The sequence below is a fragment of the Homo sapiens genome, chromosome 17, assembly GCF_000001405.40.
Source record: "Homo sapiens chromosome 17, GRCh38.p14 Primary Assembly".
NCBI lineage: Eukaryota > Metazoa > Chordata > Mammalia > Primates > Hominidae > Homo > Homo sapiens.
The window spans coordinates 30,206,551-30,230,699 of NC_000017.11; the positions used below are offsets into that span (position 1 = coordinate 30,206,551).

Below are 24,149 nucleotides of genomic sequence, written 5' to 3' on the forward strand. Positions count from 1 at the left end.
GCATACAAAATTGTAAACACAGAAGTACTAGTACCCCATCCAGGGCCCCCATGAAGAGCATAGCAGATCCTTCCCTGGTCTTGAACAGTTCTTTTTGTTATGTGACTTTGGACCCTTCACTTTACATTGCTAAGCCTCAATCTCCTTTTTTCTTTTCTTTTCTTTTTTTTTTTTTTTTTTTTTTTTGAGACAGAGTCTTGCTCTATCGCCCAGGCTGGAGTGCAATGGCGCGATCTCAGCTCACTGCAACCTCCGCCTCCCAGGTTCAAGCAATTCTCCTGCCTCAGCCTCCTGAGTAGCACCTAGTACCATGCCCAGCTAATTTTTATATTTTTAGTAGAGACGGGGTTTCACCATGTTGGCCAGGCTGGTCTTGAACTCCTGACCTCAGGTGATCCAACCACCTCAGCCTCCCAAAGTGCTGGGATAACAGGCATGAGCCACTGCACCCAGCCTCAATCTCCTTAAATGTAAAATGGGAGTGCCAGAACTATAACCACTTCATAGAACTATTGTGAGGATTTATAGAAAAGTGAGTGTAAGTTGAGCCTGAAGTCTGGCCTGGCATTTAGCGCTCCATAAATGTTATGCATCACTATCACTGCCAGAGTGACTGAAGCCCAGACTACTCCATGGTGTTAGGAGTCAGAAGGGTGGGGAACCATGGTGGGCATAGTGGCTGGGAGGGGGCACAAGAGGGGCTTCTGAAGTGCTGGTCATGTTTTTGTCTCCTGGTATGGTTTTGGCTACATAGGTGTGCTCAATTTATAACATTTCTTTGAGATGTACACTTACGAGCTGTATATTAATACTTTTCTGTATATGTTATTCTTCAATACTATTTATTTCTTTTCTGAAATAGAGTCTCACTTTGTCACCCAGGCTGGAGTGCAGTGGCGCAATTTCAGCTCACTGCAACCTCCGCCTCCTGGGTTCAAGCCATTCTCCTGCCTCAGCTTCCTGAGTAGCTGGGATTACAGGTGCCCATCACCACACCCGGCTAATTTTTGTATTTTTTTAAGTAGAGACGGGGTTTTGCCATGTTGGCCGCCTGCCTCAGACTCCCAAAGTGTTGGGATTACAAGGATGAGCCACCGTGCCCAGCCATTACAATTCATTTTTTATGTGTCTGGGGGAAGTCTTTCGCCAGGGCAAGGAGGAGAAGGGAAATGGCAACTCACCAGGAGAAACAGAGGGCTGATGGCCACCCAGCAGATCCTCCAGAACCACCCCGGGCTGAAGCCGAGCATTTCCTTCACGTCCCTGCAGAACTGAGTGATGCCTGGAACCGCCCAAGGGGAAGAGAGGCAGAGACTAAGAAAGGACATGGGCTGTGCTGCTGTGCCCTGATTCTCTGGGAGAGTCAGAGTCACAGGATCAGCACTGGGAATGACAAGGGGAAATGACAAGCCGGAATTCCTACCCCGGACACACAGGGTAGCTCTGGAATTTCTCTCTAGGAGGAGTACAGCGACAACAATCTGGTCCGAAAGTGGGGCTGGGGGACTTGTCACAAAACTGCATTTTTATAGCAAGCAAGACTCTTTCTACATAGGGTGGGAGGACGGATGGGCATCTGGAAGGATGGATGGACATTTGGGAGGATGGATGGGCATCTGGGAAGAGACACACACCCCCTTCTTGGTGCCACACCGCCTTCCTGAGAGCTGAGTGTGTATCTGATTTCATTGTTATTATAAAACAGTTGAATTTTGTCCAGGAATGGTGAACCCGCCTGACAGACACTGACTTTGACCATGACACTGGAAACTTTCAAGGGAAATTTTTAACCACAATATTGCCCATTCATATGCCAGATCAAGATCAAGGTTCTTCTATAAAAAGTAACTGGTAAGGAAGTGAGAACTGAGAACTCCCAAAGAAGAGTGAGAAATTGAGAAGGGGAAGGTGCTCTGTGGTTGCTTCCCCGAGAGGTCCCAGCAGTTCCTAGGGCAGGTCTATGGAGATTCACACACTTGAACTTGGTCGTCTGAATTGCCAAGGAGGTGGGAAGATTTCTTCTTTAAAAAACAAAACAAAACAAAACAAAAGCAGCCCTGTGTGCAACCCAAAATGTGCCCCCTCCTTGATAATATGTGTAACAAATAACATGCAAAAGTGGTTTATTTTTGTTTGTTTTTGGGTTTTTTGTTTGTTTCGAGACAGACTCTCACTCTGTTGTCCAGACTGGAGTGCAGTGGCGCGATCTTGGCTCACTGCAACCTCTGCCTCCCAGATTCAAGCAATTCTCCTGCCTCAGCCTCCTGAGTAGCTGAGATTACAGGCTTGCGCCATCATGCCCGGCTAATTTTTTTTTTTTTTTGTATTTTTAGTAGAGATGGAGTTTCACCATGTTGGCCAGGCTGGTCTCGAACTCCTGATCTCAGGTGATCCACCTGTGTCAGCCTCCCAAAATGCTGGGATTACAGGCGTGAGCCACCGCGCCTGGCCGAGACTCTTTTACAGACCCATCATCGGGAGGTCACATCTTGTAAACTGCCCCTCACAGCCTTTTTTGGTGAAATCAGCCCTTTGCTACTGTGCTGGCTGATGGTGTAGAAGGGACCCAGCTGGCTGAAGGAAGCGTCTTACCATAGAACCAAGACACAGCGACTGCTTCGATCAGCGCGACAGTGAGCACTGCGGGCCCCGTGGCATACTCCTCCAGCAGCTTCACCACGTAGGCCCCTCCCTGGAGGGGAGAGCAGAGCCTGGGTGAGGGCCCTCCAAGGAGCCACCCCTCCCAACTACAGAGACCTGCAGGGGCTTCCTCACTTAGAATCATTCTGGAAAAATCCCACCTGGGACCGAACGTGAGTACCCCAGAAACTGCCTCTTAGGCCAGGTGCGGTGGCTCATGCCTGTCATCCCAGCACTTTGGGAGGCTGAGGCGGGCGTATCACCTGAGGTCAGGAGTTTGAGACCAGCCTGGCCAATATGGTGAAAATTAGCCAGGCGTGGTGGCACACGCCTTTAATCCCAGCTACTCAGGAGGCTGAGGCGGGAGAATTGCTTGAACGAGAGGCAGAGGTTGCAGTGAGCTGAGATAGCACCATTGCACTCCAGCCTGGGGGACAGAGCAAGACTCTGTCCAAAAAAAAAAAAAAAAGAAACTGTTTCTTGGACTGTTCTTGGACTGGCCTTTGCAGTGGCAGTGTGGGCAGGTTTTACCCACTCAGACGCCTCTTCCCATCCTATGTAGTTCATTCTTCTCATTTCTTCACCCCACTAAATTTTAAGAGACAAACTCCAAAGGGCCTTGGGATCTATTTTAAACTTTCTTCAACTTATTGAACACCTGCTGTGGACACGACCCTGGAGAATCCCTGCCTCTAAAGACTGAATCCAGAAGGGCCCAGGATACCAGACACATTAAGGGCCTTGGTCACAGTTTTGCCTTTCTGTCCTAAATCATGACTCACTGGGGTTCCACTCAGTCCCCTTGACCCCCACTCCAGGGCCATCGGGGTCACGGCTTAAAGATGCACATTTGCAAAATCTGCCTTAGAGTATTTACTTCAGCTACCAAAAAAAAAAAAAAAGGATCTCTAGAGAGGGTGTGACTTCTTTACCATTGCAAATTCTGGAGGAGACCAAGCGGCATTACACACATGACGTGAAGAACGTCAGGGCAGTATCCTCAAGAAAGCAGCTCTAAAGAGTGGAAATAGGCTGGAAAAGCAAATCCTAATTTTCTCCAGATAGTTTTTGAAGCCTGAAATCTAGTGGGATCTGCGGTAAAATGCTGACAGCCCCTGGATACTATGCACGGAATCTGCAAGTAGATGCACAAGAAACAACTTTTCTTCTCCTTGATGACAAACCTTTTAATGGGAGTAACAACCTCCCCTCCTTTGGTCCCAAAGCCAGGGCACTGTGTGAGATGGAAGGAGACGAACAGCTTCCTGTAGCGTTCTGCTGCCCTAGGGGAGGCCAACTCAAAGCTGAGGGGCATGATACTCACAAAAGTCAGGGTGACCAGGGATCCAAAGAAGCAGGTGATGACCACGGCGAGCACGAACCGCTCCCGGCGCTTGGCCCAGACGTGTGGGAACTCATCCAGCACAGCCGTGATCACCCCCTCCAAGCCTGCAAACTGAGAGGTACAGGCAAGCAGTCACGGTGGAGGCTTTGGGACAAGGCTGTGGCCTTCAGGACAGTGAACAGGAGGGAGGGGTAAGGTTGCTAAGTGACTGGTCAAGCTGATCATCACCAGTTCCCCGGCTCGCTGGACCATGTAAGCATCTCAAAGAGTATTTCCCTGTTTTACACTGTCATTTAAAGCCCATCACTAAGGAGAGCCAGGAAACAAAATAGCACACGTGGACAGAACTTCAATATATGAGGTCTCTCGGGGAGACTCCGTTTGCACCAGAAAGGCCAACTCAAAGCTGAGACTCACTCCACACTAATAATTCCAGGCCCTGAACTGAACCCTTGGCAAAGCAGAGACCCAGGAGAGACCTCGCCCCGGCCTGTAGGCGCCATAATTGGGCCAAGGGACAGTGCTTAATAACAGTTCACATATGTGAGCCTTGGGCCTCATAAGCGCCTGGCGCTTGACCCACTTTATCCCATTAATGACTCGAATGTACCAGAGGGTGGTAAATGCCGAGGAGTCAGCCGGGGGTCTGGAGCACCAGAAGGGAGTAGCCAAAGCTGCCTGGGATGGCCAGGGATGGGAGGGAATTGAGTCCAGCTGAGTCCTCCTCCTTTCCTCTTCATCCTCCCACAGCCCATTTCCCCTTCCCATTTCCTCACCGTGCTGTCCAAGCCCAGCGTGATTAACATCAGAAAGAAGATGATGGCAAAGAAAGTGGACGCTGGCATGTTGGCTATCGCTTCTGCATACGTGATGAAGAGGAGGCTGGGACCTGAGACAGAGGGGAGAGAGGAGGAGGTGGTTGACAAGACCTGTCCTACAAAGATGTCACAGAGGAAAACTCAGCCACAACAACAGTTACAATTCTCATCACAAGACCTTATGTGTGAATCAGGTTTTGACACACACCAAGTGCGTCCTCACACTCTACTCCGTCTGACGTGGCCACCCCAGTTCCTGGGAGGCAGGAAGGGTGGGGCTTCCATCTTGAAAACTGTGTGCCCTCCATTAACCCTGGGGGTGGGTAACAGATCCAAGACCCAGAGACTGGCAAAGCTGCACATGAGAATAAGAGTTTCCACCATATAACAATTCCATGGGATTTCTCAGGACCAGGATTGATATTTCTAAAGTCCATGACAGTTAGCCCCCTCTGATGTCTTCAGCTTCAGAACAGTAGGAAATGTTAAATTGATTTCCGTAGAGTCACAGAGGCTTTGGAATAAAGACCTCTTTCTATTTTAAAGTCCCTTTTGAAAGTGTGAGGGACATGTCTTCAGCCTCTCATGGGTTAGCTAGGGGTGCCCTCGTTTGGGGTATGGGGTTGGTCAAAGCACCGAATCAGGCCAAAGATACAAGCATGCTAACATGCTTGTAACAAGAAGGCCCTGGGACCTCGCCCACTAGATGCCATCATCTGTTTTTTCTCCCTCTGTTGCTCTTTTCTTTTTCCACAAAAACTTCACGGTAAAATAGAGTGGTCATATTGGCTAGATTTTCTTTTTCTGCAAGGGGCAGTTCTAAGGATAAATGATATTTGCTTACTAGACTTTGAGCCATCACAAGACCATCACAGGAAGCAAACCCACTGGTTTTAAAGCCATCATCAGAGTCATCATTTCAAGCCCATAGATTTTGGAGGCCCCAGAACTGGGTGCCAAGGGAGTTGCCCTGTCCCTGCATGGCCTGAACACATGGAAAGATCTCTAAGGCATCGAGCTTCTCTCAAATCTTTGAATAAAAAATGTTTTGGAAACAGGGTCTTATTCTGTCACCCAGGCTGAAGTACAGTGGTGTGATCATGGCTCACTGTAGCCTTGACCTCCCAGGCTCAAGCAATCTTCCCACCTCAGCCTCCTGAGTAGCTGGGACTATAGGTGTGCACTACCATGCCCAGCTCATTTATTTTTTTATAGAGGCAGGGTCTCACTATGTTGCCCAGGCTGGTCTTGAACTCCACCATGCCCAGCCTTCTTTGGAAAATTTCAGGAACATTTAGAAATAAATCAAAAGTTAGATCTTTACAAAGATTCAAAGCAAAGCAACTCAGTAGGAGCAAGGGACCTGCATAGAACCCGAGGTCCTACCTGCGTCTTTGGCCACCTCAGACACATCTTCATTCCTCATCTCAGCCATGTAACCGAGCACTGTGAAGATGACAAATCCCGAAACGAAGCTCGTCATGCAGTTCACCACGCTGGTCACCAGGGCATCTCTGGAGGGGAAAACCCAAGGGGCCGCCTGAGACAGTTCCAAGATCAGGGGTCTAAGGAGCATCTGTCCGTGTGCCTGCCCTGCCTTAGACAGGGCGGCCACAGCAAGGACAAGCAGGCTGAACTCAAGGAACCTCAAGCCTGTCCCGGAGTCCCTTCGCCTTCTCCCAGAACCCAGCTGCCGAGGCCTGAAGCTCTGACTGCCATGACCACCACACATGGTGGAGGGAGAAGAGCAGTCAGGGGTGCTTTAAAAGGCAATCCTGCTAGCACAGACCTCTCCATTTCAAACCAGCCTTGTTCTGGAGCAGGGCCCAGGTTGGAGTGGGGGCCAGGACAGGGCCTGAGCCTCACATTTGTGAGATCCTCAGATTTAGGCTTTATCTTCAAACTAAGTCACAGACTGCCAGCCAGAGAGATACCCTCATTTTTTTTTCTTTTTTTTTTTTTTTTTTGAGACAGAGCCTTGCTCTATTGCCCAGGCTGGAGTGCAGTGGCTTGATCTCAGCTCACTGTACCCTCTGCCTCCCGGGTTCAGGTGATTCTCCTGCTTCCGCCTCCCAAGTAGCTGGGATTACAGGCGCCCACGACCACGCCTGGCTAATTTTTGTATTTTTAGTAGAGATGGGGTTTCCCCATGTTGGCCAGGCTGGTCTCAAACTCCTGATCTCACACTTTTAAATGACAGCCTCATCATACAACTGCAGGGTGGTGTCCCAGTGCAAGGCCACATTGCTTAGGGTACATGTGAATCTCCCTCCCACCTTTAAAAAAATCAGTTTTACAATTATCTTATGCATAGCACAAAGAGATTGATGGATGCTGCCATCTGTGATCAATTAAAATTAAGTCTAAAGATGATGGGTGACATTTATTTATTTATTTATTTATTTATTTTTGAGATAGGGTCTCCCTCTGTTGCACAGGCTGAAGTGCAGTGGCATGAACACAGCTCACTGCAGCCTTAACCTCCCGGGCTCAAGCAATCCTCCTGCTTCAGCCTCCTGAAGAGCTGGGACCATAGGCATGCACCACCACACTCAGCTAATTTTTAAATTTTTTGTAGAGATGGGATCTCACCATGTTGCCCAGGCTGGACTCAAACTCTTAGGCTCAAGTGATCCTCCTGCCTCAGCCTCCCAAAGGGCTAAGATTACAGGTTTGAGCAACTGCACCTGGCCCAGTGGGTGATATTTAAAACCATAATTGGTGTAACATTTCCTGTTCTGTTAAAATTTCTGAAATAGGATTTTGTTGCAAAAATTATGGCATTTTGGCTGGGCACAGTGGCTCACGCCTGTAATCCCAGCACTTTGGGAGGCTGAGGCAGGTGGATCACCTGAGGTCGGGAGTTGGAGACCAGCCTGACCAACATGGAGAAACCCCATCTCTACTAAAAATACAAATTTAGCCAGTCGTGGTGGCGCATGCCTGTCATCCCAGCTACTCGGGAGGCTGAGGCAGGAGAATCGCTTGAACCCGGGAGGCAGAGGTTGTGGTGAGCTGAGATTGCGCCATTGCACTCCAGCCTGGACAACAAGAGCGAAACTCCGTCTCAAAAAAAAAAAAAAAAAAAGAAAAGAAAAGAAAAATTATGGTATTTTGTGTTAGTCAAAATAATGTGATCATCATACTTTTTGTTTATACATAATACAAATAATCACATTACAATTTTTATTGTTAAACACATTGACTAGTTAAACCTAACTACTTAATTGTATGTTGCAGCTTTTTGTAAACTTGCTTTGCAATTTCTCTTTCTTTCTTTCTTTTTTTTTTTTTTTTTTGATGGAATCTCACTCTGTCGCCCAGGCTGGAGTGCAGTGGCACAATCTCGGCTCACCGCAAACTCCACCTCCTGGGTTCACGCCATTCTCCTGTCTCAGCCTCCTGAGTAGCTGGGACTACAGGCGCCCGCCACCACGCCCGGCTAATTTGTTTGTATTTTTAGTAGAGATGGGGTTTCACCGTGTTAGCCAGGATGGTATCGATCTCCTGACCTCGTGATCCACCCGCCTCGGCCTCCCAAAGTGTTGAGATTACAGGTGGGAGCCACCGCACCCCGTCTCTCTCTTTCTTTCTTTCTTTCTTTCCTTCCTTCTTTCTTCTTTCTTTCTTTTTCTTTCCTTCCTTCCTTTCTTTCTTTCTTTCTTTCTTTTTTCTTTCTTTCTTTCTTTCTTTATTTCTCTCTCTCTCTTTCTCTCTCTCTCTTTCTTTCTTTCTGGAATCTTGCTCTGTCACTCAGGCTGGAGTGTAGTGGCAAGATCTCAGCTCACTGCAACTTCTCGTGCCTCAGCCTCCCAAGTGGCTGTGCTTACAGGTGTGCAACACCATGCCTGGCTAATCTTTGTATTTTTAGTACAGACAGGGTTTCGCCATGTTGGCCAGGTTAGCCTGGAACTCCTGACCTCAGGTGATCCACCTGCCTTGGCCTCCCAAAGTGCTGGGATTACAGGCGTGAGCCACCATGTCCAGCCTCTTATTATTTTTATATACAGGAGCGCTGACAAAACCGAAGGGCATGGGGCCCCTCTCAGCCTGAGTGGCCCAGGTGAAGCCACGGCCTGGATGAGTGCTCTGGCCATGGGTGAGCTGGTCAGGGGCCTGCAGCACCCCTGAGGGGCAGTGGTATCAAGGCCTAAGCCTGGCCAGATTCGAGGCCGTCGGTCCAATCACCTTCCTCCACACTAGCTGACTTTCACTCACGCCACTTTCAAGCTTTGCTTGGGGACCCCAGATACTCACTGGTAGCAGTTGTTGTTGAACTTGTTGTAGCTAGCAAAAGCCAGCAGGACCCCAAAGCCCGGACCAAGAGAGAAGAAGATCTGAGCGGCTGCATCTATCCACACCTGGAACACAGCAGGGGTAAGGGCATGGGGTGAGGGGGAGACACAGGCTTACCCTGGCACCAACAGGGTCGCCACTCCTGCCTCCATGTGGCTAAGTGCAGAGGCAGAAAAACAGCTTTTAAGGCTCATTCCAGGCATAGCCATAAACCAAGTGCCAACAAATGTGATTTCTCTTCCTATGATTCAGGCATAAACCCATCCAGTGGCCTCAACTGTACTTTAATGCTTGTATTTCTTGGTTAAAGTATCATTGCAGACTTGCACACTGAAGCCACATTTCAGTTGTCCCTACTGTCCTATTTGGAGGAGGACCAGCTTCGTTTAGTAAAATGACAGACAGGTACACATATTTCCCTCATCATCTTACCCCTGTCTCCAGGAGTTTCTGCCAATTGGGTTTCAAGTAGAAGAGAACACCCCTCCAGGCTCCAGGGAGGGTGGCACCCCTCACCAGCAGGACAGAAAGGATGATATAAGGGAAGGTGGCTGTCACCCACACCACCTGTAAGGAAGAAGGGTTATCACCATGCTGTTCCAGGGAGGGGAGGGGAGGGGAGGGGAGAAGGAGAAGGGAGCGGGGGAGGGGAGGGGAGGGGAGGGAGGTGGGTGAATGGATGTCAGTGTCTTTTATTCTTGAAGACCTTGAGAAAGGAGGGCGAGGTGGTGTGGCAGAAAGATCACAACCCTTGGAGTCACACAGGGATCGGATTCAGGTTGGCCAGGAGAACTACCTCTGAGCCCACTATGCATCTGTAAGGTTGAGGGAGTATCTAGCAGGAAACAATAGCACTGGCCAGTGTATAAAAAGCACTGAACATGGTCCATGATGGGTTTCCAGTAAGTCATTGCCACGATTATTAATTGTGGTACTACCAGTGGGTTGAAGGAATCTTGAAAAAAAAAAATCATGTAATGGTTCTTGGCATTGGCCCATTTCTAGAAAATATTCTTTTTTCTTTTCCTTTTTTTTTTTAGTGAGACAGAATTTCACTCTGCTGCCCAGGAGTGTAATGGCATGATCTTGGCTCACAGAAATCTCCACCTCCCAGGTTCAAGTGATTCTCTTGCCTCAGCCTCCCGAGTAGCTGGGATTACAGGCACCTGCCACCACACCTGGCTATTGTTTTTTTTTGTTTGTTTGTTTGTTTGTTTGTTTGTTTGTTTAAGTAGAGATGAGGTTTCGATGTGTTGGCCAGGCTGGTCTTGAACTCCTGGCCTCAAATGATCCACCCACCTCAGCCTCCCAAAGTGCTGGGATTAGAGACGTGAGCCACCATGCCCAACCCACTTCTAGAATTTTCTAACAAATGCGGTGAAGAGAGAGAGGGTGCATCATGGAATGTGTTTGGTGTGGAAGGAAACAGTGCTGTCTGTCCAGGCTACTGGGTTTTGAGTTTGAGAGCCTGTGGGCCCCTGGGCAGGCCTGGGTCAGCAGCCAGAGCCTTCCTCACCTTGCCAGAGGTCTTGACGCCTTTCCAGATGCTGAAGTAGATAACAGTGAAGATCAGCATGATGCAGAGGGCCAGCTGCCAGCTGATGCCCCCCAGGTCCTGGAGCCCCTTAGACCGGTGGATCTGCAGGACGTGGCGCCTGGGGTGAAGGAGAAAGAAAGGCCCCTGAGAGGCTCTGTAGAGTGACCTGGGCACACATCTGTGCTGCTCCTTTGAGGGTGCCCGGGACAAATGGACACGGTGCTGCTAGGACCAAGTGGTCACTGAGGCCCAGGAAGAGCTGGGATTGGCCCTGCCTGTCCTGAAGGACCACAAAGCACATTTGGCCAACACCCTGGGAAGAGTGTTCAACCTAAAGGCAGACTTCCTGGATTCTCCTTTGCTGGATGGGACCTGAACTCCTTTGACCAATGTGACTGGCTTTTGGGAACATGAGGGATGTGTAAGTGTGGGGAGTTGGCTCCCTTCCCTACCCCAAAGTAGCTCTCTCTTTGGGCTGCCATTGCCTGAAATTCCAGCATTAAAGAAAACTACCTTCCTCAAGCATCTTCTTCCAAAGGGTAGATCCCACTTACGAAGTTGACACATTAAACCATTTGAATAGTTTTGAACTATCAAAGTACTAGGATGCTTCGCCTCCATGACATTTGGCTGAGAGGAGGACCCCGGAAGAAGGGGAGTAATTTTGGAATGTGAAGGGAGGGACGGGCTTGGGCGCATTGGAGCAAACTGACTTGGCGCATGAGAAAGTGCAAGGAGGCACAGCAGGGCCAGGCCGTGGAGCACTTGAGGTAGAGTTTCCCAGCTCCAAATTCTGCTACTCCCACCCCTGATAGCTTCATCTCTCAGAAAGGGGTGAGGAGCCCTTGGCCCTGGCCTTCTTTTTAAGAAGCCAAACCCCAGGGGTGTGGCCTGCCCCTAACAGGCCAACCCCTCACTTACGTGCACTTACGTGTAAAATTCTTCAGCAGGGGACGTGGAATGGAGGGTCCAGGTGATGTTGTCCTCGGAGAAGTAATTGGTGCAGTTGCCAGTGTTCCAGGAGTTCTTGCAGCTGGTCCAGGGCAGCTGGTCCGTGAAGGAGGAGATGAGGTAGTATAGCGCCCAGGCCATGATGGTGTTGTAGTAGGAAGCAATGTAAAAGGCAATGATGCAGATGGCATAACCAATCCCTGGGCAGTGGGTGAGATGGAGAGACAGAGGCCGAGTTTAAGGGTGGCCCAACGGCAAAAGGCTGAAACGGGGCACTGGAGAGCCCCGCAGCCCAGCAGAGGGGTACACGTGGGTGCTGCCCTCCATTCCATTCCAAGGACTCCAGGCCACCGTGGGAAAAGTGGCCCTGCCGTTAGTCACTCATATGTATTTGCAAGGTAACATGTTTTAGAAAATGTGTACATGTCCTGTTAATGCTTTAAAATGTTTACATTAGTTTACTTCTCATTGCCGTTTATTCTGTTTCTCTTTGACAATTTCACACCACTTACGCAGTCAAAACCTTAATTACTCAAGCAGTCTCCCAGGGATGCCTAAGGCCTGACTGATTCCAGAAGAAGGTCCCCAGCTCCCACCCACTGATGGAAATCCCTTCCTGAGAGGCTCCACTTACCCACCCCACCGAGCCCTTCAGTTACCTTTGAAAATCGGGCAGATTTTCCTCCATATTGAAATGCATCCATTTCGGTGGTACTGTCCCAGTGCGAGCTCCATGTAAAAGAGCGGGATTCCCCCAAAAATGGCCATGATGGTGTAGGGGAGGAGGAATGCCCCTGAGGCAGATGAAAGACAATTTCACTCCCTGCCCACGTCTGTCCCAGGATAGCCCAACCAATCTGTGACTGAGAATCACAGTCGCCGGATGATGTGAGTGTCAGGAGCCACCCTGGGCTGAGTGGCCTCATGCTGTGCTCCTCTGGTCTCAGTGCTTTGCTAGAAGCAGTCGTAGGGGGAGCACCATGACTAAAATGAGGTTTCAGAGGAGGCCAAGAGAGCAATTGGGAAGAAAGCCTGGTTTGGGAGTCGACAGAACAGGCAGGATCACATCCACTTATGACTACCTGGAGAACGCTGGGCCACTTCCCCTCTCTGAGCCCCAATTTCCTCCCTATAAAAGAACACAGTTGAGGAGAGCTGAGTTTCCCAAATGTAGCCACACATCATAGTCACCTAGATTCCTGGGTCTACCCCAGACCTCCTGAAGCGGAATCTCCAAGCATGGGCACAACACAAAAATTGTGTTCAAGCTCCCTAGGTGATTCCGATGCAGCCAGTACCTGGGACCCTTGGAACAGATCACCTGTGACAATCTGTAGCAACAGCTGCAACTCTCTGTGAGTCACCAAATCAGTATCTTTGTTCATCAGTATTATCTATGGCTCCAGACACATGATTATTGATATTTGGCTACACTTCCATAATTCCATTGAGCCAGAATGCTCCCTGACAAGCGCCGTTTGCAGGAGTGGCTGGACAGGGTAGTTTTTCACAGAACAAGCAAGCACAGAGCTGCTACCTAACTGGAGATGCTGGTGTCTCCTGGATCTTGTGGCTGAGGCTGAATTTAAAAATACCAAGTTGGGGAATGCTAACCTGCAGCCTGAGTTTTTAGCCTAAAGGGTGGATCAGCTGTGATTTTCCCTAATTTTCCCTGCTGTAAAATGCTCTGAACCCAGAAACCTGAGGTCTGTGCAAATCAGAAAGGTCCATGTAATTTACAGTCACACTGGGTAAACCCGGCTCGAGAATAAAACCATGTGTTCTCGTGATGGCCTTCCTCCAAAGAGTTTGCTTGATCAGCTTTACGCTGGGGAATGAGTGTCGGGGAAATGTCACCAGTGACCCAGCCCCTTACATAATGCCCAGGCTAAAGGTGAGTCCTCTGGAGCAGGAGATAAGGTGATTATGACTTTTGCTCCTCCTAGGCAGGAAGCGCTGAGCTTCCCAGGGGCCCCCTGGAACTACCTTTGCAACTACATGGACAGAAATCTTTAAAAGAGAGTAAATCCAGGCCACTCTGTGTTAGGTCACGGGAGAAGTGAGGGTGACACAAATGGATGATCCCCAAACCTCTTTGTAGCTGCCCTCCCAAATCTGTTGTCAGAGTTCCCATGAAAATCAAGCTTGACGCATCTGACACCCACTTCTTGTTATTTTCTTGTGCTGATAACAAGTCCAGAGGCCCCAAACCCATTCACTTTTCCCCACTGCTCTGCTCTCCCCCAGGTTCCCATCTTCATGCCTACAGTCAGCTACTATTTTTTATAATCTACAAGTTAACTACTTGAGAGGCTTTAGGGGTACAAGGAACAAGATAGGGCCTCTGGCCTCAAAAATCTAACATCCCAGGAGGAGATAGGAGGGCCAGCCATGCGTGGTTTGAGGTTGGTATTAATGTCATGCTGTGGATCTAATCCAGCTTAAATTCTGCCCAGACTGGTAATTAAGATTTAGGACTTAACGCTGATGCCCTTCTCTGACCTCACACAGGTCCAAAGGATCAGAAGCATCTGGGACTCTGAAGCCACCTCCAAATTTTCCCTTACGCAGGCCTACCCTCGTGGACTCTTCCCAGCAGAACTTGCCAGCAGGAGTGAAGGGACTCAGCACAGGGCTGACGGCCATTCCCTCACTTCTGGCTGGGGGAGGACAGAGCCTGGAGAATGCAGGATGAGAAGGAGGCCCTTCAATAAATGGAGCGCTAATGATGCTGGAGATCTGTGAGGTCAGGTTTGGGAGGGCTTCACCCAGCTTCACAACCCGGAGAGCCTCAGACACGCTGTCTTCAGCTTTTGGCTTGCTGGAGATTTGACTTTTTTTTTTTTTTTTTTTTTTTGAGACAGAGTCTCGCTCTGTCGCCTAGGCTGGAGTGCAGTGGTGCCATCTCGGCTCACTGCAACCTCCACCTCCCAGGTTCAAGTGATTCTCCTGCCTCAGCCTCCCAAGTAGCTGGGACTACAGGCGCCCACCACCATACCCAGCTAATTTTTATATTTTTAGTGGAGACGGGGTTTTGCCATGTTGGTCAGGCTGGTCTTGAACTCCTGACCTCAGGTGATCCACCTGCCTCAGCCTCCCAAAGTGCTGGGATTACAGGTGTGAGCCACCACGCCTGGCGAGATTTGACTTTTCTACCAGCTCGAAAGTCTAAGTCATCATGTTCCTAGTCTTACGCCAGTGAAGACTGAAAAGACATAATCTGTCTTCTGGCCTCTCAAGAGGACCTACAGCCCATCCCAGGTCACAGCCCACCCGGGTCACAGCCCACCCCAGGTCACAGCCCACCCGGGTCACAGCCCACCCCAGGTCACAGCCCACCCGGGTCACAGCCCATCCCAGGTCACAGCCCACCCCAGGTCGCAGCCCACCCGGGTCACAGCCCACCCCGGGTCACAGCCCACTCCGGGTCACAGCCCACCCTGGGTCACAGCCTCTACTCGCAGCCTGTGATACTGACCCCCTCCATTCTGGTAACATATGTAGGGGAAGCGCCAGACATTGCCCAGGTCCACAGCATAGCCAATCACTGAGAGAAGGAAATCCACCTTCTTGCCCCAGGTCTCCCGTTCCCCTTGATGAAGCTCAGCCACTAGGGTGGTGGTGGTCGCTGGGATAGAGTGCCGTGTGTCATCTCCCGCACCAGGACTTGGAACTGCTGAGTACCCATTGGATATTTGCCCGGACTCCACTTTGTCCCCTGGGGTGGGAACAACCTTCTGTAGAACTCCGTTTTCCTGACAATCTTCTCCATCTTCACACGCTGATAGCTGCTTCTGAGAATTCAAGGGCGTCGTCTCCATCCTGCTGGTTAGTAAATGACACTGATGTCCATCTGCCAAGGATCCCAATTGATCTCTGGGTGCTTGGATTTGTGGATCACCTCCGAGCTCTCTATCGTCGGGATTGACACGTCGGGATTGACTCTGTTGGAAAGACACACAGAGGAAGGAGAAAAAAGTTAGACATTTTACTCATCTTTGGTATTAACTCATCATACATCTTAAACTACATTAGTTAACGGGATTACAAATGCATCTGTTAAATGTGAGACATCCTATTTGCTACATGGCAGTCCATAAATTCAACTAAATTTCTCAACCTATACAGGGCATCAAATGACAATCAAGTAATTTCAAAAGGAAACAATAAAACCAACACAAATAGACAGCAAATCACCAAGGTTTGCACAGGCTGGACTGGAGAGCAAAGCACTCGCTTCCCTTTGAGCCACTGGACTCTCATCTTGTGGTTTGCCAGCAGCTCAGAAGAATGTGAGAGAGGCTCCAAAGCGTCACAGAGCACCCCCTTTGTCTTGGATGCTATGTTGGGGAAACAATGACAAGCAAAGGCGTTTCTGCCTTTCAGCAGGCAGGACAGTCCTCACCATCATTTAAGCTGCACACCCAAAGTTATATTTTATATCAACTACAGCTATGATTTTAAAAGGAAAAAAGCAAAGGACAGAGGTAAAAAGGCCACCCTTCGTGAGGCACCCCAGCTCATCAGCTACAGATTCTGTCACTCGTCTTTTAGCCCCTAGGAAGGTTGGGGCAGATTTGAGCTGCCTCCGGCTGTGTCCAGTCTATCTGCACATGGCCTTTCTGCGTTCCCATTATGCATTTGCAAGCCCGACTGGTCCTTAAACGGCACTGCTGCTCACCATTTGTTCTTCTTTCCACTTGCCAGCAACTCCTGTGGCTAAGCCCCTTGTTATTCTGCAAGAGAGGGCAAGCAAGGTCGCCTTGCCTCCAGGAGACCTAGGGAGAAGAGTGTGCAGGTTACTGATGCTGGGGTGGTTGGTGTCGCCGTCCCCCTGTGCCTCCACTGGGAGGGCCTGGCCGGGGCTGCTGTGCCTTCATTTCACCGCCGTGGCCTGGGCGCAGGGAAGTCAGCTCAGCTCTGGCTTGAGGTCTGAGTCGTCAAACGTGGGGTAGAAATTTGAGCCCTTTTGGACTTTAAACCTATGGCCTGTTATAAAGTTGTAAGCAGCAGTTGTAAGACTGTTCAACTGCTCACTCTGTTTCTTCTGGGCCTGAGCTTTTCAAACTCTTGAAACAGTTTGGGAGTTGAAATACGTTTCTGCCTAGCTGAGATGACACTGGACCCTTCTAGAAAAGATAGCCAGGGATGGACTGTTTATAACTGCAATGATCTGAGGCTAACCCTCCAGATCCAACAGTTAGGAGGATGGCTAGGAACTGGCTAATAGAAATGGCGCATGGATGTCTCCTACCTATTTGGGGTTTTTGGTGACTGCAACTTAGCTACCTACACATGTGAAGACAAAAACATAGTAAGTGAAAAATCAGGACACAAAATAGTAGCTTCACAAGAATGACTATGGCTATAAACATGAGCAAGGATTAGACATGAACACCAGGCAATGTCAGTCACTAGGGTTTGGCGTTTGCTGCATTTTTTCTGTAAAGTGGAAAATAAAAATTTTAAAGGGATCGATTGTTGCCAAAAATATCTACAGCAACAAGAGATAAATCAGCTTCATGTAGCTAGGGGCTGTGTGTGTGTAAGGGGAGGTAGACGTCTTGGGCTGTACCGCACTTGTTGGGCCCTCCGCCACCCACCCCAGGCTCAAGAATGCAAACACCACTCAGAAGGATATGAATTCTGACAAGAGCGGTCTCCATAACCTCACCCTGCTCACCATTTATGCTACTGCCTGGCCTTGGCCTCCCCCCACTTCCCCCTTCCTTCGGCCCTCAACTAGGCTTGATAGGCTTTTAAAATAACCACACATCCTCTCACCCACCATAGGTAACCATTTACCAGGCCAAGGGATATTATTATTTTATTACATGATGAGATGTCAACATATTTAAATATTCAGCTAAATTAAACCTGAACTTGGTAGTCAGTGGTTGTGTTGTTTAAAAAGGCCTCTGTACTTCCCTCCGGCCTATATCAATGACATGTTTTGTACGTTAAACAACTGACGAACTTGAAGGCCAAATGGCAGGGAGGAAGAGCTTTTCCCTGTGCGGCTGGAGGGCACCGAGTTGACAGAGCTGCTCCTTCCCTTGCTCTTCCTCCCACTGGCCCCACAGTTTTGTTTTTTTTTTTTTGAAACAGTCTTGCTCTGTTGCCCAGGCTGGTGTGCAGTGGCACAATTTTGGCTCACTGCAACCTCTGCCTCCCGGGTTCAAGCGATTCTTGTGCCTCAGCCTCCGAGTAGCTGGGACTACAGGCGTGCTCCACCATGCCCGGCTAATTTTTATATTTTTAGTAGAGATGGGGTTTCACTATGTTGGCCAGGATGGTCTTGAACTCCTGACCTCACATGATCCACCCGCCTTGGCCTCCCAAAGAGCTGAGATCACAGGTGTGAGACACCATGCCTGGCCTGGCCCCACAATTTTCTGCAAGAACCTCTTCTATTTTCTGTACTGCCACTTTCCTCTCACTTAAATAGAAGCTCCAATTGCATCACCCAAGCGTTCCCTGGCCTCTCTACCCAGGCCCAGAGGGTCTACGGAAGGGAAATGCGGTCCATCTCAGAAGCAATACTTTGGGGAGAGGAAATAGACATTTAGCAGCAGCAGTGAGCAGTTACCCTCCTGCCTCAGGGGCCAAATGATTTGTTCTGGATTTTGTTTACTTTCTTCCTTGAGGCGTCCTGCAGAGAGGGTAGAAAATGTGTGCAGGTAGGTAGATTTTTGAGGGCAACGTGTGTTCTCAGGAGTCCTCAGGGGTTCAGCCCCGAAGGCATCCAGTCCTGAATTCCTGGCAACTATGGTAAGCAGCTCCTGGAAGAGTAATACGCTGTTTCTATTTGTGTTCTGAGCCATTACAGAGGTCTTGTTTCCTGAAATATCCCCTAGTTCTTCTTAATTTTTTAATTAAAAAATTTTACATCAACAGGCTGAAATGGCCCCAGTGCAAGAAAACCCAGAGCATCCCTCAGACAACTCATGACCGGGCAGCCTCTCCCCACAGGCTGTCTCTCTCTATCCAGCTGTGCTTTCTGGGGTTCTCCTACTGAACCCCCACCCTCATCATAGAATCTGGGGTGCAAACACAAAGTTACAGCCACTCAGAGGAGACACACATCTCCTTTTCTTAACTTACTCCTCTGCCTCTGCCAGGTAGAGGAAAACTCCTCTCGGTGACTAATCGGGTCTGCCAGGAGAAGATGCCATGTGCCCGGGGCCCTTTCTGCCTGCAAGCTCCTGCCTGTGGAGCCCCAGACTCTCTTCCTATTTTTTCTGATTCTGCAGAGCCCTGGCTGGCTTTTTCTATCAAGACTTGCACATAACAATGGCTGAAAACAAGCTGGCCCAGGAATAGAGAAGTGTGAGTTGTTAAGAAGGTTGGTTTCTGAGAATGCCCTCTTCTAAGCTTTCTTTTTTTAAAAGGTATTTTTATCCTGCTGGGTGGAAAGATTGCAAACGAGGTCAATATTACAGCTGTGACCTTCTCCAGGCAGTCTTTGAGTTTCTCCATGTCCAGAAAAAGCCCCAGAAGGAAGCCTTCCTTTGCATCTTGGATGTGTGCTGTTGTTCCAGGCTGAGCTGGTGACAGGCTGAGGGTGGTGCCGTGGACCCCACCTCTGCTGTGGAATGACAGCTGGCAGACAGAAGCTTCGTCCCCCTAGGTCTCTGCACATGAGGGGTGCAGTTGACCAGCCAATGGGAGTGGTTGACTTTCTCTTAACTCTCCTGAAGCTAATGCACTCCATTCCCCCAATCCCTGACTCCAAGTAAAAAAGGACTGTTTCTATTTAAACTTCTGATCGAATCTCCATTCCTCTTTCCACACACTTTGTCTCTATAGCCAGGAGCAACCCGTACCTGAACAAGCATGTAATTATCCCGATTGGTCATAAACACCCAGCCCTTTGGAAATGCCTGTGACGCTCCATCTACTTGATGCCTATCAGTGCCTTCTAAGCAGAAAGACACTACAGAAATGTTGAACTTTGACTTCATGTGTCAAGATCAAAGTGAGTTCATTTCTCAGGAAACTCAACTTTCTTTCTCAAAACAAACAAAAACAAATGAACTGTGGGTTTAACGTTGAGATAGGATTAGTTACAGGTCATAGAGCCAACTGGCAGTTCGTATCCTCTATTCAGAGGGAGGCTGAAGTTCCCAGGGCATCTCCCAAGAGTGATGGGAATTATGGAACGCTGGTGCCGCCCGAAGCAGTAAACATGGAATCTGGCCTTCTTCATGGAGAAGCACTCCCTCAGCAAAGATGTGCGTAGGCCCACATGTGCTCGGCTCCTCAGAAACAAGGCAGGCAAGCCGGGCCAGCTGGCTCACGCCTGTAATCCCAGCACTTTGGGAAGCCAAGGCGGGCGGATCACCTGAGGTCAGGAGTTTGAGACCAGCGTGGCCAGCATGGTGAAATCCTGTCTCTACTAAAAATACAAAAAGTAGCTGGGTGTGGTGGCGGGTGCCTGTAATCTCAGCTACTTGTGAGGCTGAGGCAGGAGAATTGCCTGAACCCAGGAAGCGGAGGTTGCAGTGAGCTGAGATTGAGCCACTACACTTCAGCCTGAGTGACAAGAGTGAAACTCTGTCTCAAATAAATAAATAAAAATAAAAATACAAAAAATGAGCCGGGCGTGGTGGTGCATGTCTGTAATCCCAGCTACTCAGAAGACTGATGCATGAGAATCGCCTGAACCTGGGAGGCAGAGGTTACAGTCAGCCAAACTGCGCTCCAGCCTGGGCGATAGAGTGAGACTCTGTCTCAAAAAAAAAAGAAAAAGAAAGAAAAAAGAAACAAGGCAGGCACAGTCCTGCCTGCATGGAGTCCACAGGCCAAGCCTAAAATCTGAAAAAGAAAACCAACTGCTAGGAAAAACACGATGCTTCTGGAGAGGCTGGTGCTGCCACACATCCCGTGGTGAACAGAGGCTGCCGCTGGCTCGCCGCGGCGTGTTTAGATAGCTCACATGTTTTGCACCACAGTTGCCCCCAGGCTTTAAGTCTTCCTTTGCTGCTATTGCACAGTTTCTCTCACAGGACCTTGGCTGTTGGCTGATCCTTCCTTGCAGGCTCTGCAGTGTAAAATGGGGGCTCACGTTTGCATCTGCTGAAGGCACTGCTGTGTTCCCGAAGTGTGCAGGGTCATGGGGGCACAGGTCGGAAGCCATAGGGACTCCTGCCTTGCCTTTCCAATGAATTGAAGAGATTTCATGATAGAAATGAAGAGAATAGAGAAAATCTGCTTGTTTTTTTTTTGGACAAAAAGGGTAGAAATGAACTCCACTATCACAGCCATCTCCTTATCCAAAGGATTCCTCATATGACAGAGTCAGTTTAGTGTTTTTTCTGTTCCTTTGTGTGTGTGTTTGTGTGTGTGTGTGTGTTGTTTTTTTAAGAGACAGAGTCTTGCACTGTCATCCAGGCTGGAGTGCAGTGGCATGATCATGGCTCTCTGCAGCCTCAACCTCCCGGGCTCAAGGAATCCTCCCACCTCAGGCTCCCGAGTAGCTGAGATTACAGGTGTGTGCCACCACACCCAGCTAATTTTTTGTATTTTTTTCAGAGATGGGGTTTCACCATGTTGCCCAGGTTGGTCTTGAACTCCTGGCCTATGAGCAATCCTCCCGCCTTGGCCTCCCAAAGTGCTGGGATTACAGGCATGATCCACTGCACCCAGCCTGGTTTAATTTTTTGGAGAGGAATTAAATAGGATAAAATCCTCAGGGCCATTTGGGCCAGTTATCATGAGAAAGAAAAAGAATTTCTGTCCAGAACTTTCCCTGCCTGGGAGAGGATAGCCCTGGGCTTCTCTCTACACAGAGTATAAAATCTAGAGGATATGCCCCTTGTGATGGGGTCAAGGTCCCCCTGAGAGGCTGGCCAAAAGGATACTGGATTATTTATTTTGACTTTACTAGAAAGAAATGAATTTAGCATAGCAGATGTGAACAGCCCTCCTCCAGTGAATATAAACAGCCAAGCCCAGACTAACTTCCTTCCAGAGTCATCTTTCATTAGTTCCTCTGTTCACAACCCATAGCTCTCCTTTCTGTTTCAGGTCTGCACTGGAATCCCTGGTCCACCACTTAATGGCTGTGTGACTTTGAGTAGGTCACTTAACCTCTCTTAGCTTCCATTTCCTCCTGTGTAAAAGCAGACTGTTAAAACCGCTACTTCCTAAAGGCTGTCGTGGGAATTAAAGTATGACACATGCTTATCTCAGTGTCTAGCACAGGGAAGCATCAATAAATGACAGTGAGTTGATGTCACTATCACCACCATACATCCGCAACCCATTGTGCCTTTCTACTTCATACCCTAGCAGGGAAACTGAGGCCCACAAGACTTGGGACTTAAGTGATCTGTGGCTCCCAGCACGGGCCTCACTGGGTCATGCTTGCTGCTCTCAATCAGTGCTTGGGGTCACCTGGGAAACAGACTCCTGGGCTGCTCTCCCAGAGATTCTAATTCAAGAGATCCACGTGGGCACTCAGGGATCTGCAGTTTTTAACAAATACCGCAGGTTATTCAGGGGCCAGTAGGCACCAACAGTGCCGTGTGCGTCCCCACCTGTAGCTTCCCTTCCTCTAATTATCCTGCACCCTCCAAGGCCTGGCATAAGCTTCTATCCACCTCCTCTCAGCACTCCAGCCCAAGATACACTCTTTCTACTCAATTCTCATTTGTCACTCGCCATTGATTACCAGGCATCATTAGTTATCCTTTTATATACATTTGCTTCGTGTGCCCCTGGAAGCAGGGGCTATGGCTACACGTCCCTGAGTCCAAATACTTGCAGACTGGAGCACGCCCTGTACAGCTCTCAGCATGGAGGGCTTGTTTTGGGTTTCCTGACTGGGCGAGGGTGCCAACAGATCTGAGCTCCATGTGAGGTGCTGCTCTTTCTCTCCTCCCTGGAGTTAAGTCAAATGGGATCAGGGTTCTATTCTAAGGGGCCCTGTCCCTCCCTGCCTCACCCATCGGGAAGATTGGCTGTGCATCTTGTGGGCAGAGGAGGAGGGCTGCCTTAACAGTCATTTTCATGGACTATGGACAGGAAGAGACTGACATGCCCAGGATTAAAGAGCCCGGGATGGGCTTTCAGACTTTGAAACAAGTACTGGCAGGCACACCCATCAGCGGTCTGGGCTCCAAATGTTCATCTGTGAGCTGGTGGTTTGGAACTTAGAATATATTTCCTAACCCACAGAAATAAATGTGATAAACTAAAACATCTGAAACGAAAGCTGTAGAACACAGCGTTGTTAAGTGCTACACGACGGCTTAGGGGTGGGGAGGGGGCTGACAATGAGACTGATTCGAAGTTCTTTCTTTATTTTAACCTTCTTTTTGGTTCTTAAGGAAAACTAAATTTAAGGAAAGAAGAACAAGGAGCAGGGAGATCCTTGTACAGATTCCACGGAGGTGTCTTTTAGGCACTTTTGAGGTCTTTAGTTTTGTTTGTTGTTCAATTTTAAAATACACAGTAGAGATGAGATCTCGCTATGTTGCCCAGGCTGGTCTTGAACTCCTGGACTCCAGCGATCCTCCTGCCTCAGCCTCCCAAAGTGCTGAGATTACAGCATGAGCCACTGCGCCTGGTCCAAGTTCTTTAGAAGTTGATGACATGGGCTGGGCGCAGTGTCACATGCCTGTAATCCCAGCACTTTGGGAGGCCAAGGTGGGCGGATCACCTGAGGTCAGAGTTCGAGACCAGCCTGATCAACATGGAGAAACCCTGTCTCTACTAAAAATACAAAAATTAGCCAGGCATGGTGGCGCATGCCTGTAATACCAGCCTTTTAGAGGCTGAGGCAGGAGAATAGCTTGAACCCAGGAGGCAGAGGTTGTGGTGAGCTGAGATCGGGCCATTGCACTCCAGCCTGGACAACAGGAGCGAAACTCCATCTCAAAAAAGAAGAAGAAGAAAAAGAAGAAAGAAGAAGAAGAAGAAGAAGAAGAAGAAGAAGAAGAAGAAGAAGAAGAAGAGGAGGAAGAGGAAGAGGAAGAGGAAGAGGAGGAGGAGGAGGAGGAGGAGGAGGAAGAGGAAGAGGAAGAAGAAGAAGTTGGTGACATGAATTGCTTGTGACACATAATTTCACAACTTACAACTTTTTGCAGAAAACAAAACTGCTTTTACTCTGTTACCATAGTATATTTAAATGTGGACGAGGCTGGGAAAGAGACTTGAGAAACTCAAAACAGATGATGTGTTAGATTAATCAGGATTAGGAGTGTCACTTCACCTTCCAAACACTCCTTTACTGTTGTGATAAATACAATTTATGCAATAAGTAAAAATCGAGATAGAACACATGGGAACATGTCCACACACAGCTTTTCTTTTCCTTTATACAGGTATGTTACTAAGATTACCTTTGTGTAAAACAGACATGATTGGGTCCACAAAGGGACCCAAAACAGAGAGAAGAGAGGAAAAAACAACCCCAGGGAGAGGGTGCTATGAAATAAGGGTGGATTCACCTGTGGCTGCTGAGCAAGGCGGAAGAGGGAAGTGGGGAAAAGGGGGTTTGAAGTGGAACTACAAAATAAAATGGGAGTGGAGAAGAGAAAAGAGAGGGGAAACTGGC

The 24,149-nt window shown here is 49.0% G+C and overlaps 1 protein-coding gene across 1 annotated transcript in view, besides 22 other annotated features; it reads right to left on the reverse strand.

The window, feature by feature from the left end:
• The window catches only part of SLC6A4 (solute carrier family 6 member 4), a 41,379-nt gene that overhangs the window by 12,232 nt on the left and 4,998 nt on the right, over positions 1 to 24,149 (reverse strand). The window contains exons 2-13 of the mRNA NM_001045.6: positions 16,269 to 16,365; positions 15,066 to 15,531; positions 12,247 to 12,381; positions 11,568 to 11,787; positions 10,616 to 10,754; positions 9,532 to 9,666; positions 9,061 to 9,164; positions 6,190 to 6,317; positions 4,762 to 4,874; positions 3,965 to 4,096; positions 2,593 to 2,692; positions 1,182 to 1,282 (exon numbers count right to left, since the gene is read on the reverse strand). Of these exons, the coding sequence (NP_001036.1) occupies positions 1,182 to 1,282; positions 2,593 to 2,692; positions 3,965 to 4,096; positions 4,762 to 4,874; positions 6,190 to 6,317; positions 9,061 to 9,164; positions 9,532 to 9,666; positions 10,616 to 10,754; positions 11,568 to 11,787; positions 12,247 to 12,381; positions 15,066 to 15,408 (1,650 nt within the window). The 5' untranslated portion in view covers positions 15,409 to 15,531; positions 16,269 to 16,365. The remainder of the gene's footprint in view (positions 1 to 1,181; positions 1,283 to 2,592; positions 2,693 to 3,964; positions 4,097 to 4,761; positions 4,875 to 6,189; positions 6,318 to 9,060; positions 9,165 to 9,531; positions 9,667 to 10,615; positions 10,755 to 11,567; positions 11,788 to 12,246; positions 12,382 to 15,065; positions 15,532 to 16,268; positions 16,366 to 24,149) is intronic.
• Positions 6,112 to 6,571: an enhancer, noted in NCBI's record as "active region_11991". NCBI's record gives its function as "activates an Ori minimal core promoter by ATAC-STARR-seq in GM12878 lymphoblastoid cells {active_cell/tissue: GM12878}" and the evidence as "EXISTENCE:reporter gene assay evidence [ECO:0000049][PMID:35858748]".
• Positions 14,767 to 15,065: an enhancer, noted in NCBI's record as "STin2.12 VNTR fragment used in reporter constructs; includes 12.4 repeat unit copies". NCBI's record gives its function as "allele-dependent enhancer in E10.5 midbrain, hindbrain and spinal cord floor plate in transgenic mice, and by transfection assays in JAR cells and differentiating ES cells; negatively regulated by retinoic acid and lithium chloride" and the evidence as "EXISTENCE:reporter gene assay evidence [ECO:0000049][PMID:12542679, PMID:10481059, PMID:17360901]" and "EXISTENCE:transgenic organism evidence [ECO:0001131][PMID:10611371]".
• Positions 14,767 to 15,065: a protein binding site, noted in NCBI's record as "STin2.12 gel shift fragment; includes CTCF sites 1-4". NCBI's record gives the evidence for it as "EXISTENCE:chromatin immunoprecipitation evidence [ECO:0000226][PMID:21309950]" and "EXISTENCE:protein binding evidence [ECO:0000024][PMID:17360901]".
• Positions 14,816 to 15,058: an enhancer, noted in NCBI's record as "STin2.12 allele fragment used in reporter constructs". NCBI's record gives its function as "high activity enhancer in transfected rat prefrontal cortical cells when combined with the S allele of the 5-HTTLPR; activity is subject to CTCF-mediated repression; increased activity in response to cocaine treatment in cooperation with the S allele of the 5-HTTLPR in stably transfected human JAR cells" and the evidence as "EXISTENCE:reporter gene assay evidence [ECO:0000049][PMID:19860858, PMID:21309950]".
• Positions 14,835 to 14,851: an enhancer, noted in NCBI's record as "f/d repeat unit fragment used in reporter constructs; overlaps RP12 and a partial repeat that follows in the STin2.12 reference genome allele". NCBI's record gives its function as "high activity enhancer in differentiating ES cells" and the evidence as "EXISTENCE:reporter gene assay evidence [ECO:0000049][PMID:12542679]".
• Positions 14,835 to 15,040: a tandem repeat, noted in NCBI's record as "STin2 polymorphic region; 12.4 copies of a 16-17 bp tandemly repeated unit found in the STin2.12 reference genome allele; includes RP1-RP12 plus an additional partial repeat". NCBI's record gives the evidence for it as "COORDINATES:sequence similarity evidence [ECO:0000044][PMID:9149321, PMID:12542679, PMID:15229244, PMID:10481059, PMID:17360901]".
• Positions 14,853 to 14,866: a nucleotide motif, noted in NCBI's record as "nucleotide_motif; CTCF Site 4 overlapping RP11-RP12 d-f repeat units". NCBI's record gives the evidence for it as "EXISTENCE:motif similarity evidence [ECO:0000028][PMID:17360901]".
• Positions 14,874 to 14,890: an enhancer, noted in NCBI's record as "repeat unit g used in reporter constructs; overlaps RP10". NCBI's record gives its function as "low activity enhancer in differentiating ES cells" and the evidence as "EXISTENCE:reporter gene assay evidence [ECO:0000049][PMID:12542679]".
• Positions 14,886 to 14,899: a nucleotide motif, noted in NCBI's record as "nucleotide_motif; CTCF Site 3 overlapping RP9-RP10 d-g repeat units". NCBI's record gives the evidence for it as "EXISTENCE:motif similarity evidence [ECO:0000028][PMID:17360901]".
• Positions 14,907 to 14,923: an enhancer, noted in NCBI's record as "repeat unit g used in reporter constructs; overlaps RP8". NCBI's record gives its function as "low activity enhancer in differentiating ES cells" and the evidence as "EXISTENCE:reporter gene assay evidence [ECO:0000049][PMID:12542679]".
• Positions 14,907 to 14,939: a transcriptional cis regulatory region, noted in NCBI's record as "region deleted in the STin2.10 allele; includes RP7-RP8 consisting of d and g repeat units". NCBI's record gives its function as "increases enhancer activity in transfected human JAR cells and differentiating mouse ES cells, and in E10.5 developing rostral hindbrain of transgenic mice when compared to the STin2.10 allele, which lacks this segment; increases activity in response to cocaine treatment; may cooperate with the S allele of the 5-HTTLPR" and the evidence as "COORDINATES:sequence similarity evidence [ECO:0000044][PMID:9149321]", "EXISTENCE:reporter gene assay evidence [ECO:0000049][PMID:12542679, PMID:10481059, PMID:21309950]" and "EXISTENCE:transgenic organism evidence [ECO:0001131][PMID:10611371]".
• Positions 14,907 to 14,956: a transcriptional cis regulatory region, noted in NCBI's record as "region deleted in the STin2.9 allele; includes RP6-RP8 consisting of f, d and g repeat units". NCBI's record gives its function as "reduces enhancer activity in transfected human JAR cells and rat prefrontal cortical cells when compared to the STin2.9 allele, which lacks this segment" and the evidence as "COORDINATES:sequence similarity evidence [ECO:0000044][PMID:9149321]" and "EXISTENCE:reporter gene assay evidence [ECO:0000049][PMID:12542679, PMID:19860858, PMID:17360901]".
• Positions 14,919 to 14,932: a nucleotide motif, noted in NCBI's record as "nucleotide_motif; CTCF Site 2 overlapping RP7-RP8 d-g repeat units". NCBI's record gives the evidence for it as "EXISTENCE:motif similarity evidence [ECO:0000028][PMID:17360901]".
• Positions 14,925 to 14,948: a protein binding site, noted in NCBI's record as "YB-1 site 2 or VNTR6/7 oligo overlapping RP6-RP7; binding is inhibited by CTCF". NCBI's record gives the evidence for it as "EXISTENCE:protein binding evidence [ECO:0000024][PMID:15229244]".
• Positions 14,934 to 14,950: an enhancer, noted in NCBI's record as "f/d repeat unit fragment used in reporter constructs; overlaps RP6-RP7 in the STin2.12 allele; not present in the STin2.9 allele and partially absent in the STin2.10 allele". NCBI's record gives its function as "high activity enhancer in differentiating ES cells" and the evidence as "EXISTENCE:reporter gene assay evidence [ECO:0000049][PMID:12542679]".
• Positions 14,957 to 14,973: an enhancer, noted in NCBI's record as "repeat unit e used in reporter constructs; overlaps RP5". NCBI's record gives its function as "low activity enhancer in differentiating ES cells" and the evidence as "EXISTENCE:reporter gene assay evidence [ECO:0000049][PMID:12542679]".
• Positions 14,969 to 14,982: a nucleotide motif, noted in NCBI's record as "nucleotide_motif; CTCF Site 1 overlapping RP4-RP5 d-e repeat units". NCBI's record gives the evidence for it as "EXISTENCE:motif similarity evidence [ECO:0000028][PMID:17360901]".
• Positions 14,982 to 15,001: a protein binding site, noted in NCBI's record as "YB-1 site 1 or VNTR 3/4 oligo overlapping RP3-RP4; binding is inhibited by CTCF". NCBI's record gives the evidence for it as "EXISTENCE:protein binding evidence [ECO:0000024][PMID:15229244]".
• Positions 14,984 to 15,000: an enhancer, noted in NCBI's record as "c/d repeat unit fragment used in reporter constructs; overlaps RP3-RP4". NCBI's record gives its function as "moderately active enhancer in transfected JAR cells; high activity enhancer in differentiating ES cells" and the evidence as "EXISTENCE:reporter gene assay evidence [ECO:0000049][PMID:12542679]".
• Positions 14,990 to 15,006: an enhancer, noted in NCBI's record as "repeat unit c used in reporter constructs; overlaps RP3". NCBI's record gives its function as "moderately active enhancer in transfected JAR cells; low activity enhancer in differentiating ES cells" and the evidence as "EXISTENCE:reporter gene assay evidence [ECO:0000049][PMID:12542679]".
• Positions 15,893 to 16,408: an enhancer, noted in NCBI's record as "H3K4me1 hESC enhancer chr17:28549461-28549976 (GRCh37/hg19 assembly coordinates)". NCBI's record gives its function as "activates a minimal SCP1, AML or CMV promoter by ChIP-STARR-seq in naive H9 embryonic stem cells {active_cell/tissue: H9 hESC(naive)}" and the evidence as "EXISTENCE:reporter gene assay evidence [ECO:0000049][PMID:30033119]".
• Positions 19,347 to 19,547: a silencer, noted in NCBI's record as "peak2787 fragment used in MPRA reporter construct". NCBI's record gives its function as "represses an SCP1 promoter by STARR-seq MPRAs in K562 erythroleukemia cells {active_cell/tissue: K562}" and the evidence as "EXISTENCE:reporter gene assay evidence [ECO:0000049][PMID:32103011]".